General features: G+C 45.0%; 1 long non-coding RNA gene across 2 annotated transcripts, besides 2 other annotated features; it reads left to right on the top strand.

The window, feature by feature from the left end:
• Positions 1–13245: 13245 nt before the first annotated feature.
• On the top strand, positions 13246–14433 carry LOC124902272 (uncharacterized). Of its 2 annotated transcripts, none has more exons than XR_007061780.1 (2): positions 13246–13346; positions 14104–14433. It is a non-coding gene; the product is annotated as an uncharacterized LOC124902272 (long non-coding RNA). The 2 variants fall into 2 exon arrangements; XR_007061779.1 differs by having other exon boundaries at positions 13246–13350.
• Positions 14302–15136: an enhancer, noted in NCBI's record as "H3K4me1 hESC enhancer chr9:129350903-129351737 (GRCh37/hg19 assembly coordinates)". NCBI's record gives its function as "activates a minimal SCP1, AML or CMV promoter by ChIP-STARR-seq in naive H9 embryonic stem cells {active_cell/tissue: H9 hESC(naive)}" and the evidence as "EXISTENCE:reporter gene assay evidence [ECO:0000049][PMID:30033119]".
• Positions 15137–15971: an enhancer, noted in NCBI's record as "H3K4me1 hESC enhancer chr9:129350068-129350902 (GRCh37/hg19 assembly coordinates)". NCBI's record gives its function as "activates a minimal SCP1, AML or CMV promoter by ChIP-STARR-seq in naive H9 embryonic stem cells {active_cell/tissue: H9 hESC(naive)}" and the evidence as "EXISTENCE:reporter gene assay evidence [ECO:0000049][PMID:30033119]".

Genomic DNA, 17390 nt, shown 5'->3' with positions numbered 1-17390 from the left:
TGCTGGTTCTGTAGCTGGGGATATGCCTTTCCCATGTAGATCAGCCAAAGACTCAAGGCAAAAAACAACAGGCCAGCTTCCCACTGGGGCCCATTGTGGGGGCAATTGTAAGGTGACAGTCCCGAGGAGACTCTGCCAAAGGAAAACTGCATTTTCAGGATATGGGGGTACAAGAGCTTTTAAAAATATATGTTTTCTACCATTTCTTTGAGCAGCTCTTCCCATTTATTTATTTATTTAGAGACAGAGCCTCCATCTGTTGCCCAGGCTGGAGTGCAGTGGTGCCATCTCAGCTCACTGCCACCTCCGCCTCCTGGGCTCAAGTGATTTTTGTACCTGGGCCTCCCGAGTAGCTGGGATTGCAGGCGTGCGCGACCATGCCCAGCTAATTTTTGTATTATTAGTAGAGATGGGGTTTTGCCATCGTGGCCAGGCTGGTCTCGAACTCCTGACCTCAAGTGATCTGTCCGCCTCGGCCTCCCAAAGGCTGGGATTACAAGCTTGAGCCATTGCACCCAGCCACCTCTTAACGTTTAAATAAAAGAATATTAACAAGTGCAACAGAGCCTGGCTTGGTGACTTATGCCTGTAGTCCCAGATACTCAGGCGGCTGAGGTGGGAGGACCTTTTGAATGCAGTTCAAGGCCAGCCTGGGCAACATGGCGAGGCCCTGTCTCTGAAAAAAAAAGTGAGGTGGGGGGCAACAAAATACAAGCTTTTTAAACAGTAAATATTCTCTGCTTTTAGGAAGTGCCCTATTGGAGAGGAGAGAAAGCTTTGTGAGAATCTTGGAGCCCTGAGCTCTGGATTCTCGTCTGTGTGGACCCCAGAACAGTCCAGGAGTTCCTGAGAGAGCCAAGGGTGTCTGGGGGAGAGCCTGGTGGTGATGGGAGATGATTCCACACATGCTCTAAACATGCCAGAAGCAATAGGAGGTACCTTTGTATTTTCCTAATTAAAAGATTACCCCCTCCGCCCCCCACCCACCAGGACTGGGCACAGTGGCTCATGTCTGTAATCCCAGCACTTTGAAAGACCGAGCTAGGAGGATAGCTTGAGGCCAGGAGTTTGAGACCAGCCTGGGAAACATAGAAAGACCTCATCTCTACAAAAAATTTAGAAGTTAGCCAGGCATGGGAGCATGTATCTATAGTCTTAGCTACTCAAGAGGCTGAAGTGGGAGGATCGCTTGAGGCCAGGAGTTTGAGGTTACCACTGCACTCCAGGCTGGGCAACAGAGCAAGACCTTGTCTCTGAAAACAAAACAAAAAACCCCAAGTATTTTTTGGCCAATTTAAGTTTATAAAAACCCTCAAAAACTCAAGACAATGAAACCGTCACATACCTACTTAAAATATTAAATTTATGAGTTTGGTACTACCTGCAAAATTACAATTTTTATAGTAATTTTGGGTGTTTGTAGCAGTAACCTGAAAAATAGGTTTAAAATAAGATCATATATATAAACATTGGTTTTTCTTTTTCTTTTCTTTTCTTTTTTTTTTTTTTTTTTTTTTTGAGACAGTCTCATTCTGTCGCCAGGCAGGAGTGCAGCAGCATGATCTCGGCTCACTGCAACCTCTGCCTCCTGGGTTCAAGCGATTCTCCTGCCTCAGCCTCCAGAGTAGCTGGGATTACAGGCACCCGCCACCACGCCTGGATAATATTTTGTATGTATTTTTAGTAGAGACAGGGTTTCACCATGTTGTCCAGGCTGGTCTTGAACTCCCGGTCTCAAGCGATCCGCCTGCCTCAGCCTCCCAAAGTGCTGGAATTACAGATGAGAGCCACCGTACCCGGCCTGAAATATTGCCTTTTCTTGCAGTTTCTGAAACAATTTAATTTCAAACCCTTCAGCTGCATTTTTTTGTTATTATCTTTTAATTTTGGTGAAGTATACATAACATGAAATTTACCGTCTTCACCATTCGTATGTGTACAGTTCAGTGACAGTAAGTACATTCCCGTTGTTATACAACCATCACCACTATTTGTCTCCAGTACTCTTTTCATTTTGTAAAACAAACTGTATGCATTAAAGGATAACTCCCCAGTGCCCTCCCCTGACCTAGTCCCTGGCAGCCACCGTTCTGCTTTTTCTGTCTCTGCATTTGACTACTCTTAGGTGCCTCATGGAGGTGGAATTGTACATATTTGTGCATGTGTGACTGGCTTATTTCACCTAACATAATGTCTTCCAGGGTCATCCATGTTGTAGCATGTATCAGAATTTACCTCCTTTTTAAGGCTGAATAATAGTGTATTATGTGTATATAGCTCACATTTTGTTTATCCATTCATCTGACAGTGGACTCTTGAGTTGCTTCCGTTGCTTCGTTATTGTGAATAATGCTGCAGTGAACATGGGTGTGCAAATACCTCTTTGAGTCCCTGCCATCAGTTATCTTGTGTATATACCCAGAAGTGGTTTGCTAGACCTATAGTAATTCAATTTTTAAGTTTTTTAAGTAAACTGCCGTACTGTTTTCCATAGTGGTTGCACCATTTTGTATTCCTTTCAATGGTGCACAGGGTTCCAATTTCTCCACATTCTGTTTTTTGTTTGTTTGTTTGTTTGTTTTTGATAGTAGCCATCCTAGTGGGTATGAGGTGGTATCTCATTGTGGTTTTGATTTGCATTTCCCTAATGATTAGTGAAGTTGAACATCTTTTTTATGTTCTTATTGGCCATTTGTATATCTTCTTTGGAAGCATATCTATCCAAGCCCTTTCCCCATTCTTTATTTATTTATTTATTTATTTATTTATTTATTTTGAGATGGAGCCCTGCTCAGTTGCCCAGACTGGAGGGCAGTGGCACGATCTCGGCTCACTGCAACCTCTGCCTCCCAGGTTCAAGCCAATTCTCCTGCCTCAGCCTCCGGAGTAGCTGGGATTACAACTGTGCACCACCACGTCCGGCTAATTTTTGTATTTTCGTGGAGACGGGGTTTTACCATGTTGGCCAGGCTGGTCTCGAACTCCTGACCTCAGGTGATCTGCCCACCTCAGCCTCCCAAAGTGCTGGGATTGCAGGCATGAACCACCGTGCCTGGCCCCCTTTCTCCATTCTTTAATTGGGTTGTTTGTTTTTTTGTGATTGAGTTGTAGGAGTTCTTTATATATTCTGGATATTAACTCCTCATCACATATATGGTTTGCCAATGTTTTCTCCCATTTCACGGGTTGCCATTTCACTTTGTTGACTGTATCTTTTGATGCACAGAAATTTTACATTTTGACAAAGTCCAATTTATTTTTTCGTTTGTTGCTTGTGCTCTACCTACTGCGTGCATGTGTGTGTCTGTGTAACAGGGTCTTACTCTGTCTCCCAGGCTTGAGTGCAGTTGTGCAATCTTGGCTCACTGCAGCCTTGATCTCCTGGGCTCAGCAATCATCCCACCTCAGCCTCCAGAGTAGCTGGGACTACAGGCGAGTGCCACCACACTGGCTAATTTTTGTATTTTTAGTTGAGACAGAGTGTTGTCATGTTGCCCAGTCTGGTCTTGAACTTCTGGGCTCAAGCAATCTGCTGGCTTCATCCTCCCAAAGCGCTGGGATTACAGGTGTGAGTCACCTTGCTCAGTCTCTACCTGCATTTTTGAATCTGTGTCCTTTGTCATTACCTGGCTACTTTTTGAGACGTCCATCATTTTCTAGCGTACCTGTCTCCAGTTCTCTAAGTTGTTTGTTACAAATTCTTACACGGTGCTAAAATTATCCCAAGCCAAAAATAACTGTTTGCTGAACATTAGGCTACTAGGTTACTTTTATTCTTCTGGTAAGTATAAATTCATACTCTGCACACCTTTTTTATTGTGTTACAAAATGGGCAGTAAAAGGCTTGTTTGCAACAATATCCATCCCCTGTGTGCATGAGACCACACTCCCTGGAGAAATTCTAAAGCTACAACAAAATTACCTGATCTTTCTTTTAGCACATTTGTCAGGTTACTGCCATTAGCATCCAAAATGAGCATCTAGTGAGGCCATTTCAGGCTAATGCGTCTTTCCCAAATAGCATTCTATTGGTCAAAATGAAGTAATTGGGAATGTGTCCCATGATATAGCATACTCTCTAAGCGGTCAAATCTAAGGAATAATTTTTGGGGAAAAGCCCTGCTTTATATTCTGGCTAGGCCTAACAACGATAACAATAACAGCAGTAGAAATAACCACCATATGTTGGGTATCACTCTAGCCTGGCGCTGAGCTCAGTGCTTCACACATACTCTCACACTGAATCCACAAAACAGCCTGATCGGAAGATTCTCATTGATATGGTTTGGCTGTCTGTCCCCTCCCAAATCTCATCTCCAGTTGTAATCCCCACGGGTCGAGTGAGGGGCCTGTAATCCCTACGTGTCGAGGGAGGGAGGTGATTGGATCATGGGGGCAGTTTCCCCCATGCTGTTCTCATGATAGTGAGTGAGTTATCAGGAGATCTGATGGTTTTATACGTGTTTGGAAGTTCCTTCCTCACTCTTCTCTCTCCTGCCGCCTTGTGGTGAAGGTGCCTGCCTCCCCTTCGCCTTCCACCATGATTGTAAGTTTCCTGAGGCCTCCTCAGCCATAAGGAACTGTGCGTCAATTAAACCTCTTTAGTTTAAAAATTATCCAGTCTCAGGTATTTGTTTATAGCAGTGTGAAAACAGACTAATACACTCATACTGTTCCCAATCTACAAGTGGGGAAATTGAGGCTCAGGCAGGTAAAGGCACATGCCCACCAGCCACACAGGTTCTGATGGGTAGATCTGGAATTTGAACCCATGTCTCTCAGAGCCCAGGCTCTTGTTTGTTTGTTTGTTTGTTTGTTTATTTTTGAGACGGAGTCTTGCTCTGTCACCTAGGCTGGAGTGCGGTGGCGTGATCTTGGCTCACTACAACCTCTGCCTCCCAGGTTCAAGCGATTCTCCTGCCTTAGCCTCCTGAGTAGCTGGGATTACAGGTGCCCATCACCATGCCCGGCTAATTTTTGTATTTTTAGTAGAGACGGGTTTTTACCATGTTGGCCAGGCTTGTCTTGAATGCCTGACCTCAGGTGATCCACCTGCCTTAGCCTCCTAAAGTGCTGGGATTACAGGCATGAGCCACTGTGCCTGGCCTATTTATTTATTTATTTATTTTTATGGACGTGGAGTCTTGCTGTGTTGCCCAGGCTGGCCTTGAATTCCTGGGCTCAAGTGATCCTCTCGCCTAAGCCTCCCAAGTAGCAAGCTTTTAATCATCACATGACTCTGCTTTTATCCACATGATTTATGCCTGCTGTGAGTGCCCTAGCACCGCACGTGCCCCAGAGAGAAACCTGCCCAGGTAGCTGGGTTTGCAGTGCTCCTACCTTGAACCTGCCAAGTCAGCTGCAGTGCTGGGGCCCAGACCCAGCTTTGTTCCCTCTGCCCCATGGTTGGTGGTCCTTCCTGGGAGGCAGGCTGATCCAATGAAGGCACATCGTATGTGGCTCCTCCTCACCCCTTATCAGGCAGTTTAGAACCAACTCACCAACATACTTGGAAGGAAGGAAAGACTACTGGGAAGAAAGCTGCCACTCACTCTGGCCACATGTTACACACAATGGTGACAACATAAAAACACCTGAGGCACAAGAAATCCTGGTTGCCTCTGCTTTTGTTTTGGAAAAGGAGCTTTCCAAAATGTTTATTTCTGGTAAGCTTTTTTTTTTTTTATCATGGAATATTTCAAACATATATAACAGTAGAATAATGTACCAGTTACTCAGCCTCAGAGTGACAACTCATGCCCAATCTTGTTTCCTCTACTTCCCACCCCAATACCCTTATCTCATTGGGTTATTTTAAAGCAAATCCTAGACACCATAACGTTTCAACCATGACTATTTTGGTATATATTTCTAAAAGATAAGGGAATCTTCAAAAGGTTATAATAGCCAGAATGCCATTATCACTCCTGGAAAAATTATCATCAAATTGATCTAGTCAGCGCCTACAATTTCCCTGATTGTCTCCTACATGTTTTGTACATCTTATTAAAAAGGCCATGTGTGTTTTAAGTCTCTTTTAATCTATAGTTTCTCTCTCCCCACATCTCTGTCTCTGTCTCTCCACCTCTCCACTCTTGCTGTTTATTAATATCTGTGGAAGAAACCCATTGTTTGTCCAGCAGCATTTCCCTCAATCTGGATTTTGCTGCTTGTATTCCTGTGGGGTCCTTTAACATGTTCCTCTGTCTTCGGAATTTCTTGTAATTAGATCTAGAGGCTTGATCAGGTTCAGGTTTGATTTTTGGCAGCAATACTTCACAGGAGGTATCGCGCTGTGTCCTTTTGTCAGGAGGCCCATAATGTCTTGTGAGCTCTTTTTTTGGGTGAAGTTTGTAGCTGTGGATGTTCACTGCCTAGATTCACTATCTCATTAAGGCTTGCAAAATGATGATGCTTTTTTTTTGTTTAGCCAGGGTTTTGTTCTGTCACCTTGGCTGGAATGCAGTGTGGGATCTTGGCTCACTGCAGCCTTAATCTCCTGGGCTCAAGTGATCCTCTCACCTCAGCCTCCCAAGTAGCTGGGACTACAGGCATGTGCCACCACACCCAGCTAATTTGGTGTTCTAATTCTATCTTCCTTCTTCATTTATTAGCTGGAATACTTGAAAAAGGGCATCTCCTCATTAACTCTTTAGTTACCCCAAGGCGCAGTATGCCCTCTTTCAGTATATACACTATAGACAGTGCAAGACTTGGCTCTTTAATGGCTTTCAAATAATGAGTTTGTTTCCTAGCATCCTGAGAGGTTTTTTTTTAAAATTGATTTTTAAAAAAGTATCATTATGGGGCCGAGCTTGGTGATTTACACCTGTAATCTCAGCACTTTGGGAGGCTGAGGTGGGAGGATCACTTGAGCCCAGGAGTTCAGGACCAGCCTGGGCTGGCAAGAACCTGTCTCTACAGAAAATACAAAAATTAGCCATGGAGCACATACCTGTAGTCCCAGCTACTTGGGGAGCTGAGGTAGGAGGATTACTTGAGCCCAGAGGTCCAGGCTGCAGTGAGCCAAAATCGCGCCACTGCACTCCAGCCTGGGCAACAGAATGAGACCCCACCCCTCAACCTCTCTCAAAAAAACAGTATCATTATGAATATAGGGACTGAATGCTATTTGATGTGTTTCAGTCCCCTGTGATTCTTATTCTTATTGCTGTTCAAATGATCCTATTCAGCCAGAGAGAACCTCTTTGGATTGGTTCCTGATGTCTTTGACCCCAGTTGGCTTTGATGGCTTCCTTGCTTTCTGGAACAGCAAGGTGCCCCAGACTCATCTTGTACACTTGCTGCTCCAAACCTGGAATCAGCCATCTGTCTAAGGAGTCCTGGTTCCTTTGAGTGAGGAATATTATTTAGAAAGCACGATCTTGTTTTATGCAATGCTCATTACTATTGGGTTGGTCATTGTTTCTGGGCATTTTGAGTGAATAGAGCTCAGAAATACATTTTTTAAAAGGTAAAATGCATCACAAATTATGATTACCAAAACTTGGAAGCAGCAAGATGTTCTTCAGTAGGTGACTGGGTAAACAAACTATGGTACATCCAGACAATGGAATATTATGCAGCGCTTAAAAGGAAGAGTTACCAAGCAATGAAAAGACACAGGAGAACCTTAAATGCATATTGTTGGGTGGAAGAAGCCAGTCTGTAAAGGCTACACAGATGATTCTAACTATACAAAAAGGCAACACTATCAAGACAGTAAAAGATCCATAGATTCCAAGTGTTTGGGGGAGGGAGGGCTGGACAGGGGGCACACAGGATTAGTGAAACTACTCTGTATGATATTATAATAGTAGATATATGTCATTATACATTTGTTCCAACCCATAGAATGTAAATCAAGAGTGAATTTGAATGTAAACTGTGGACTTTAGTCAATGTCTCATTATTGATGTATCAGTTGTAACAAATGTATGCCATTATGCAATGTCACTGGTCTGATTTTTAAAAAAGAGCCCTCCATTAATGAAAGATGTTCACAACAGGGGAAACTGGGAGGGGGTTGGGGAGATGAAGGGATATACGGGAACTCTCTATTTTCTGCTGAATTTTTCTGTAAACCTGAAACTGCTAAAAAAATAAAGTCTACTAATGTGCTTAAAAAATCATGAGTTCATATTGACACTTCTAATTTAAATTCAGGATCACCATGTTTTTACTTAGCCTTGTCTGTTCTTTCTCCCATGAGAAATGCCCTTTCTTTTCAGTTCCCAGTGAAAGATAAACTCATCTGTTGAGTCTGACCCACTTCACACTCTCAGATAAGAATGCCAGTACTATCATGTCTTAGTCCATCTGGGCAGCTGTAACAAAATACCTTAGACTGGATAATTTGTAAATAATAAAAACTTATTGCTCAAGTTCTGGAGGCTGGAAGTCCAAGATCAAGGCCCAGCAGATTTGGTGTCTGGTGAGGGTTTGCTCTCTGCTTCAAAGATGGCGCCTTTGGCTGGGCACCTTGGCTGGCGCCTGTAATCCCAGCATTTTGGGAGGCTGAAGCAGGTGGATCACTTGAGGTCAGGAATTTGAGACCAGCCTGGGCAACATGGTGAAACCCCATCTCTAGTTAAAAAAAACACACAAAAATCAGCCCAGCTTGGTTGTGCGCACCTGTAATCCCAGCTACACAGGAGGCTGAGGCACGAGAATCGCTTGAGGCCAGGAGGTGGAGGTTCCAGTGAGCTGACATTGCGCCACTGCACTCCAGCCTGGGCAACAGAGTGAGATCTTGTCTCCAAAAAACAAAATCAAAAACAAACAAAAACAAAAAACAAAGATGGCACCTTCTAGCTGTGTCCTAACATGGTGCAAGGGCAAAGGGACGAACAAGCTCCCCCAGAAGAGCACTAATCTGATTCATGAGGGCAGAGTCTTTATGACCTCATCACCTCCTAAAGGCCCCACCTCTTAATACCACATCAGATTAGGTTTCAACATAGGAAATTTTGGGGTGACACAAACATGCAGACCACAGCGCCCCAACAGTATGATTATTATTATTTTTCTTTTGTAGTTTATGTCTTTATTTTTGCTTTTTCTTTAGGGAATGTCTTATTAGGGAGGGACAGTCAAAATGACTGCGTTTTAGTGACCTGGGGTAATTCTTCTCTGTGTGGTGATGTCACCAACTTGCCATAAGTTAGCCTTTTGGGTTTGTTTTGCTTTTGATATTAGAAATTTCTTTTCCAAGCATTTCACATTAGTTTATGATTATATTAAATATTTGCCTGGTTTCCAAGTCAGGTCTACAAAACAAGAAATATTATGAAGGGTCTGTCTCCCCCTCCACCTTGTTTCCTTCCTCTCCCTTTAGAGAAATGTTGCTGCTTCAAGTTTTTGTTTTGTCCTTCCATTTTAAAAGTTAATGCCTCTACTTTTCTTAGAGAAATGGGAGTATAAGCTACATACTCTTCTCCCAAATTATAAACCAAATTTTTTTTCTAGTCAAGTTCCCGATGCTTGTAGAGGAAGGTCTGACCTCAGACTTTGCACGTCATCATCATCTACCCAATTTGAAACAAGTTATTTCTGCTTTTTTGTCAAGGGTCTATTACTATTTGTAGGCATTGCTTTTGTTTTGTTTTATTTTGTTTTGTTTTGTTCTGTTTGGAGACAGAGTCTCTCTCTGTTGCCCAGGCTGCAGTGCAGTGGCACAATCTCGGCTCACTGCCACCTCCGCCTCCTGAGCTCAAGCAATTCTTGTGCCTCAGCCTCCCAAGTAGCTGGGATTACAGGAGTGTGCCACCACACCTGGCTAATTTTTGTATTTTTTGTAGAGACAGGATTCCACCATGTTGGCCAAGCTGGTATCACACTGCTGACCTCAAGTGATCTGTCTGCCTTGGCCTCCTAAAGTGCTGGGATTACAGGCGTGAGCCACCGCGCCTGGCCAAGGCATTGTTAATTGAGCTTTCAAACAACCCCATGCCCATGGGATAGGTATTACCTCTGGTTTTTGTAGAAGAGGAAACTGGGACTCAATGAGCTGGGATTTGAACAAGTGCCTCCCTGATTTCACTTACTTGTTCATAAATATTTCTGCAGCACCTAACTGTTTCAGACCCCATCCTAGGTACTAGGATACAGAGATGACCCACAGAGGGTCTTGTCCTCCTGGAGCTCACATCTAATGGGGTCATCATGTCTGAGCAGACAACTGTGGTATGGGACTGTCTGTCTGCCCACCTACTGCAAGGCAGCTCCTCAAAGGAATCTGCATCTGATCCACTCTGGGTGACAGCCCAGCACAGCTGAAATCAGCGGATGTTTGTTGAATGAATAAGTAAATAAATAAAGTTAAAAAAAAAACAACAAAGCTTGAAGTTGTTAATGGAAGTCTAGTGCCTCTGAAACTAGCAAACCTTTGTAAAAAATTTTAATAACATTTAAGTTATGAATATAATGTACTTCATTTTAGAAAAATTGGAAAGCATAGAAAAGCACAAATGAGAAAATAAAAATAATCCATAATACCAGCCCCCAGAGTTAGTCTTTTTGTTTTTCATTTTTTATTTTTTAATATTTATTTATTTATTTATTTGAGATGGAGTCTTGCTCTGTCACCCAGGCTGGAGTGCAATGGCACAATCTCAGCTCATTGCAACCTCCATCTTCCAGGTTCAAGGGATTCTTCTGCCTCAGCCTCCTGAGTAGCTGGGATTACAGGCACACATCACCATGCCCAGCAAATTTTTTGTATTTTCAGTAGAGATGGGGCTTCACCATGTTAGCCAGGCTGGTCTTGAACTCCTGACCTCAAGTGATCAGCCCGCTTTGGCCTCCCAAAGTGCTGGGATTACAGGTGTGAGCCACTATGCCTGGGCTTATTTTGTTTTTTCTGCATAAACATCCTTTAAGAAAAAAATTTGGATCACACCATCTACATAGCTTTGTTGTTTGCAATGAGAAAAATCTCTAACAATGCATCATGACCATTTTCCTAAGCGAATATCCCTTTAAAGCTAAGCGTCTACTTAGAGGTTGGATTTATTTTTTGCCAGTGATGACATTCTTCACCACATAAAATACTTATAAACTCAAGATTAAGGCTGAAATCACAATGGGAAGAATAGCAGGCTTTCAGGCTGCATGCTGTGCCTCAGTCTCGATTACACAATCCTTCCCCAGCAAACGCCAGGGAAATTCGACGAAGACATCAGCCTGGGGGGATCAGTCTTCCTTGGACCCTTTAATACTAGGAGTTGTATTATCAGCACAACCGCTTTCTGCAGTTCCGATCTTTGCAGGTACTACTAAAATTTCCTCTTGGCTGCAGAGAGGAACTATCATACAGTCTTTAGAGCATGTGATTAAGGGCTGGCTCTGGAGTCGGACCTCCACCTAAGTCCTGCTGCACCTGAGATGGTCGTGTGACCTTGGCAAGGGACTTCACTCTGTGGGCTCTAGATCCCTCATCTGTAACTCAGGGCAGCTACTGTACCCACCCCTGCAGGCAGTCATGAGGAATCAATAGCACAGTGCCTAACACATAAGCCACCCATAAATATCAGCTATTATTATGACAACTTGTGTGTTTGGAGCTTCTGCTCTTATTTTCTGAGCTGCGCTTGCCATTCGCTGGTATCAGGGCTGCTCTTGGCAGCTTGTCTTGATGGGAAGATAATCCAGGCCTTATGAAGTATCTGGATGGCTGCCATCATCTTGCTTGGAGGCACTGGGCATGGGTGTCTCAAGCATGCTCTGACCCCACCTGCACCTTAAGCAGCCACGCACCACAATTCCACTGACAGAGGCTTATGATTTTATTTTATTTGTTAACAAGTTCATTTATGACATGATTACATTCATTATGATGTGATTACTGTACAAATAATCAGGGGAGGCAAGATCACATCATAAATAAGTTTATGGTCTTTGGAGTTGGACAACATGGGTTCAAATCCCAGCCCTCTTACTTAATTTTTTTTGCAACACAGGGTCTCACTGTGTTGCCCAGGGTGGAGTGCAGTGGCCCAATCATGGCTCACCACAGCCTTGACTTCCCAGGCTCAAGCCATCCTCCCATCTCAGCCTCCCGAGTAGCTGGGACCACAGATGGCATGTGCCACCACGCTTGGCTAGTTGTTTTTTATTTTTGGTAGATACAGGGTCTCGTCATGATGCCCAGGCTGGTCTCGAACACCTGAGCTGAAGTGATCCATCCACCTCAGCCTCCCAAAGTGCTGGAATTACAGGCGTGAGCCACTGCACCAAGCTATTTATTTGACTTTGAACAAACAATTTCCCATCTCTGAACTTATCAGTTTCCTCATCAGTAAGTTGGAGATCATAATTGTGGATGGCTTTATTTTCCCCCGTCTAGCATCCATTACCATGATTTTGCTTTTCCTTTGGGAGAACCAATTCTCTCCCACCCTGAACCATGATTCATTCCTGGACTCTGAGTGGGGCATGTGACCCAGGCTTAAGCCAATCAGAATACTCCAGCATCTGACTGCGGAGATTCGTCTGTGGGTGGTCATGTGACTCAAGCCAGTCCAATAGCAGGAATCTCCAGGCTTTTGCTTGAAACACTTCTTTCCCATGGCCTTGCAGGTCAGAGGATGTTAGAGGAGCTGCTACAAAGCCATCTTGCTCCCAAGTGGGACTGATTGTCTGAGAATGGGGCTGCAATAGAGGAGGTAGAACCAAGAGAACCCACAGTATGTGCATAACTTTTGAGCCCCTGCCTGAAGCTGATCATGATTTTCTATTGATACAATCTAATTTTTTTTCTTTGCTTAAGCCAATTTGAATTGGGTATTCTGTCACTTTCAGCTGAAACAGTCCTGGCTGATAAAACAATAGTATGTATTTCTTAGAGTTAAAAGGAGTAGTCAAGGAAACATATAAATCTAAAGCCCTCGATACACAATGCCCTTGGCACAAAGTAAGTGCTTAATAAATGGGAGTTGTTTATACTGTTGTTATAAATTTAACTGTAGAAAAACAAGAAAGGGAAGATAAAACAAAAAGCAATCAGGAAAAACATTGCTTTATTTTTTATTTTTATTTTTTGAGACAGGGTCTTGCTCTGTCACCCAGGCTAGAGTGCAGTGGCGTGATCACGGCTCACTGCAGCCTTAAACTCCCAGGCTCGAGTGATCTTCCCGTCTCAGCCTCCCAAGTGGCTGGGAACACAGGCACGCACCAACATGTCTGGCTAATTTTTTTTAATTATTATTTTTTGCAGAGACAAGGTCTCACTATATGGCCCAGGCTGGTCTCAAACGATCTTCATGTCTTGGCCTCCCAAAGTGCTGAGATTACAGGCATGAGCCACCATGCCTGGCCCAGGTTATTCTTAATCTCACCTTTTAGAGGTAGGTAAGTATTTTGAAATATTTTTATTCCAGACATTTTCCTATATATGTGTATTTATATAAGTGCCAAAATAGGATTACTCTGTAATACTGTTCTGTAGCCTGTTTCATTTGGATATAAATCAAGCACATTATAAAGATATATCTGTACAGCACAGCCATTCGTAATGGCTGCATAGCATTCCATGTTTTCGTTGGCTCTTCAGATGATCTCTAAATTATTTTTGTACAAATAACTTTGTGATGGCATTCTCATCATCAATCTATATCTTTGTGGATTTTATATATATATATATATATATATATACTTTTTTTTTTTTTTTTTTTGGAGACTCAGTCTCGCTCTGTTGCCCAGGCTGGAGTACAGTGGTGCAATTGCGGTCGACTGCAACTTGAACTCCTGGGCTTAAGCAATCCTCCTGCCTCAGCCTCCTGAGTAGCTAGGACTACAGGTGCATGCCACTACGCTCAGATACTTTTTAAATTTTTTTGTGGAGATGAGGTCTCACTGTGTTACCCAGGCTGGTCTCGAACTCCTGGGCTCAAGTGATCCTCCAGTCTCAGTCTCCCAGAGTGCTGGGATTACAGATGTGAACCATTGCTTGCCAGATTTTATAATTGTCTAATGATAAGTTTCTAAGGGTAGGATTGCTGAATCTGAAAGTTTTAAAGATGGAAAAACCTACAGTGTAATTTTTATTGAAATGTTTAATATTTGAATAAAGTACATTATTAAGAATTTAAATGTCTTTCACAGAAAGTGGAGAGCCCCGCCCTGTGGGCTTTAAATCTTGTTCCACTTCAGACACTTTCACAGCTCTGACATCATGAATACTGTAATCACCCAGCACAGGAGGGACTGCGATTCCCAGAACTCTGACATCAACAGCCTGTGAGGACAGCAAGCTGGATGTGGCTCGCTCTGAACATCTGCCTCTCCACTCAGGAGACCTAGCTCCTTGCAGAGCCTCATTCTTCCACGTGTTTCAGGGCGACCCCAGCGGGTAGATAACATGCACCCATAGATGAGTCCTGGTTGCCACTTGATTTTGAAAGGAAAAATAAAATTGCATTTATTTCCAAATGACATGCTTATCTAGATAGAAAATCCATCATAACCTTCAAAAAAGCAACTAGAATTAATAGGCAAGTTTAGTGAGGTTGCCAGATACAGGATCAATATACAAAAATCAACCATATTTCTATCTTCTGGTGATAAACCATCATTAATTCAGTTTTTTTAAGCAGTGTGATTGAGGTTTTCACATAAGTTCTGGTTGCATTTTACACTGCCTCTATCCTCCCTCACCAATGCTGCCGTTGCACTGCCAAACAAAGTTCACCACCACGACCACTGGCCATGCCAGAACTCGCAGCTTGTGGCTGCCTCTGAGCCTCCTTGGCCTCTTAGGGACAAGCGATGCTGCTTCTGTCATGATGGCTGCCACTAATCCACATGGCTCCACTTGGCCTGCTGTCCATGTGGAGCTGCTCCTCCCTGTGGACTTCCTGTGCTCTGATGACCTTGGAGGAAACGGCAAGGTCACTGGCTTACGCTTGGTTAGGGGGCCCCACAGCAGGACAGCTTGGGCACACGAAGGGCTAGAGTTTAGAGAAACAGGGCTTCCTTCTGCACAGCCACTCTTCTCTCCACATTGTTAGGAGACCTGTGTCCACACTGCCGTCAAGACTGCCATCTGCCCCCCAGAGCACCACCTTGTGTCCACACTGCCCTCAGCTCCCCAGCCTGGGCTGAACCCAACTCACTGTTGCTGGCTCTCTTCTACTGGGGTAGATCTTTTTCAGGGGCTCTCTGCTCCTCCTCAGAACCCTGCCTTGTCACCCAGCTCTCTTGTCCTCCTAGGCTGGCACGTGTCTGAGCTCCCTGTTGCTGTGCCTCATGTTCGACCCCAGTAGGCTGCCCAGTCCTTGGCCAGATCGTCCATTCCATGACAGATGCAGAAATGGAGACTCAGGGGGCCCTGACCTGCCCAAGGCCCCAACAAATAATGACGGAGCCGGAGTTTGAGCCCATTCCTCCCTGATATACCAAGTTTCGTGCTGGTTCTGCCATGTCCTCCAGGGCCAGCTCACTTCCCACCAGCTCCCCAAATCTGGCATCTGTCAGGCTCTGCACAGGGAGGCTGGTGGGCAAAGGGGTGTAAGATAGATGAATGGGCCCTGTGGCACTTTGTGCAAGGATAACCAGGCGCTGCCCCTCTCCGCATCCCCGGCCTCTAATCCCTGCATCCTCCATCCCTAGTGTCCTAGAGCCCGCAAATCCTGCCCCCAGGTCCAACTTCCTGCCCCCAAGGCTCCTGAGCCTAGAGCCCTCCACCTGTCTCAGCAGGGTGGTGTTGGTCTGGGGCTGGGTTTTGACAGGCAGCTGAGCTCACCACGCTCCAGGCCTGGCCCCCTCCATCCCCCGCCCCCATCCCAGCTGGTTCCAGAAGGGAAGCGGGGGTGGGGGCAACTTCACAGGGAAACTTTTGTTCTTGCCTAGAACAGACACGGGCTGGAGACCGAGCTTCCCCTTGGCTGCCACGGAGACCGGGGCCACTTGAGTTCATGTTTATTTTCACAGTGTGGATTCCATGGAGATAATCAGCCCGGACAGGGAAGCCCTGGGAAGCGGGCTTGGGCCTCCTTGGAGTGCCTACTATGTGCTAGGCCAAAGACAGGCAGGAGCCAGTGGAATCTACGAGACAGTCCTGGGGACTAGACACTGGGCCGTACTTGCCTGCAAAAGAGGCAGCCAAGGTTCAGAGAAGGGAAGCCACTTGCGCAGGGTCATACAGCAGGTTAGCAGAGAGCTGAAAGGGAAGCTACCTGCTCCTGGGGCTCTTCCTACTTTGTGCCTGAGTTACAAGCAGAGTAATTCACTCTCCCTGAGGCTTCACAGAGAAAGTGCTGCCCAGAGCTCCAAGCGGGCCAGGGTCGCTGGAGCAGGATGGACTGGAGCGTAGGTGGCTCTTCCAAGACAGAGGCTGAAACCTAAGCTGAGGCCTTGGGCTAACAGTGTAATTCTCTGAGCCACAGACTCCTCCTCTGTGAAACGGGGCTATTAATAGTATTTGTTTCATCACAGGGCTGGCATACAGTAAGAACTCAACGATAACCATTGCTAATGTTATTATTATTACTGTTGCTAATGTTATTGTTATTACTGCCATTCTTCTATTTCACCCAGTCCCAAGACCTTGGGCTCATCGTGGGCCCCAGTAATCTCCAATAAGATGTATCAATGCCTTTCTGAGTGGAAGCTTTTTCTGCTGAATCTGTGAGGGATGGGAGAGGAGGGCCGGTCATGTCTGAATCATTGCTGCTGGCTGCCCCTGAGGAACAGTCCCGGATTTCTCAAAGAATCACCCCTAGCCCTCCTGGGGGGCCCACTGCCCCTCACTCTGAGCCCTGCCAGCCCTTGTCCTAGTCCTTCCCCAAAATCCACCCTCCATGTTATTTATTGATTTTTCTGGATTTACTTTTCCCATCAGTTTATTTCATGACTGAAATACACCTCGAAGCCCCGTTGTGTCCAACTCACCGAGCCGGACTTGCCAGGTCAATGATGAACACGCCGGTTAGACCAGCGTCTATGCAGGAGGACCCAAGGAAACGGCCGAATCAAAACCCAAACATGGAACCAATAAAATCCTTAACCTGACACTACAAACTTCCCACAGACTTCAGAGAAATACCTCAAGAAGGGCACGACCTTTTAGTTTCTCCCCAAGGCTACCTCCCCCTCCAGCGAGGTCTTTCTAAAATACAGATTTGACCTCGTCCCTTCCCGGCTTCAAAAACCCTTCGATAGCCCCTCAGTATTTATTATTCTTATTCGCTAACATTTATCGAGGTCTTCTGCTCGCCGGATCCTGTGCTGAATGCCTTTTGTGAGTTTGTTCCCGTGGGGCAGGGACCACTGCCCTTCTGGTGTCAGGGATGAGGGAACGGTGAGGTGGGGGCACCGTTTGGGGTCACACAGCTGGCGAGTGGGATGCAAACCCAGGTTGGTCTGGATCTGAAGCTCATCTACCTTCCACC

Source organism: Homo sapiens, chromosome 9 (assembly GCF_000001405.40).
Source record: "Homo sapiens chromosome 9, GRCh38.p14 Primary Assembly".
Taxonomy (NCBI): domain Eukaryota; kingdom Metazoa; phylum Chordata; class Mammalia; order Primates; family Hominidae; genus Homo; species Homo sapiens.
This window is presented reverse-complemented; position numbering and strand designations above follow the sequence as displayed.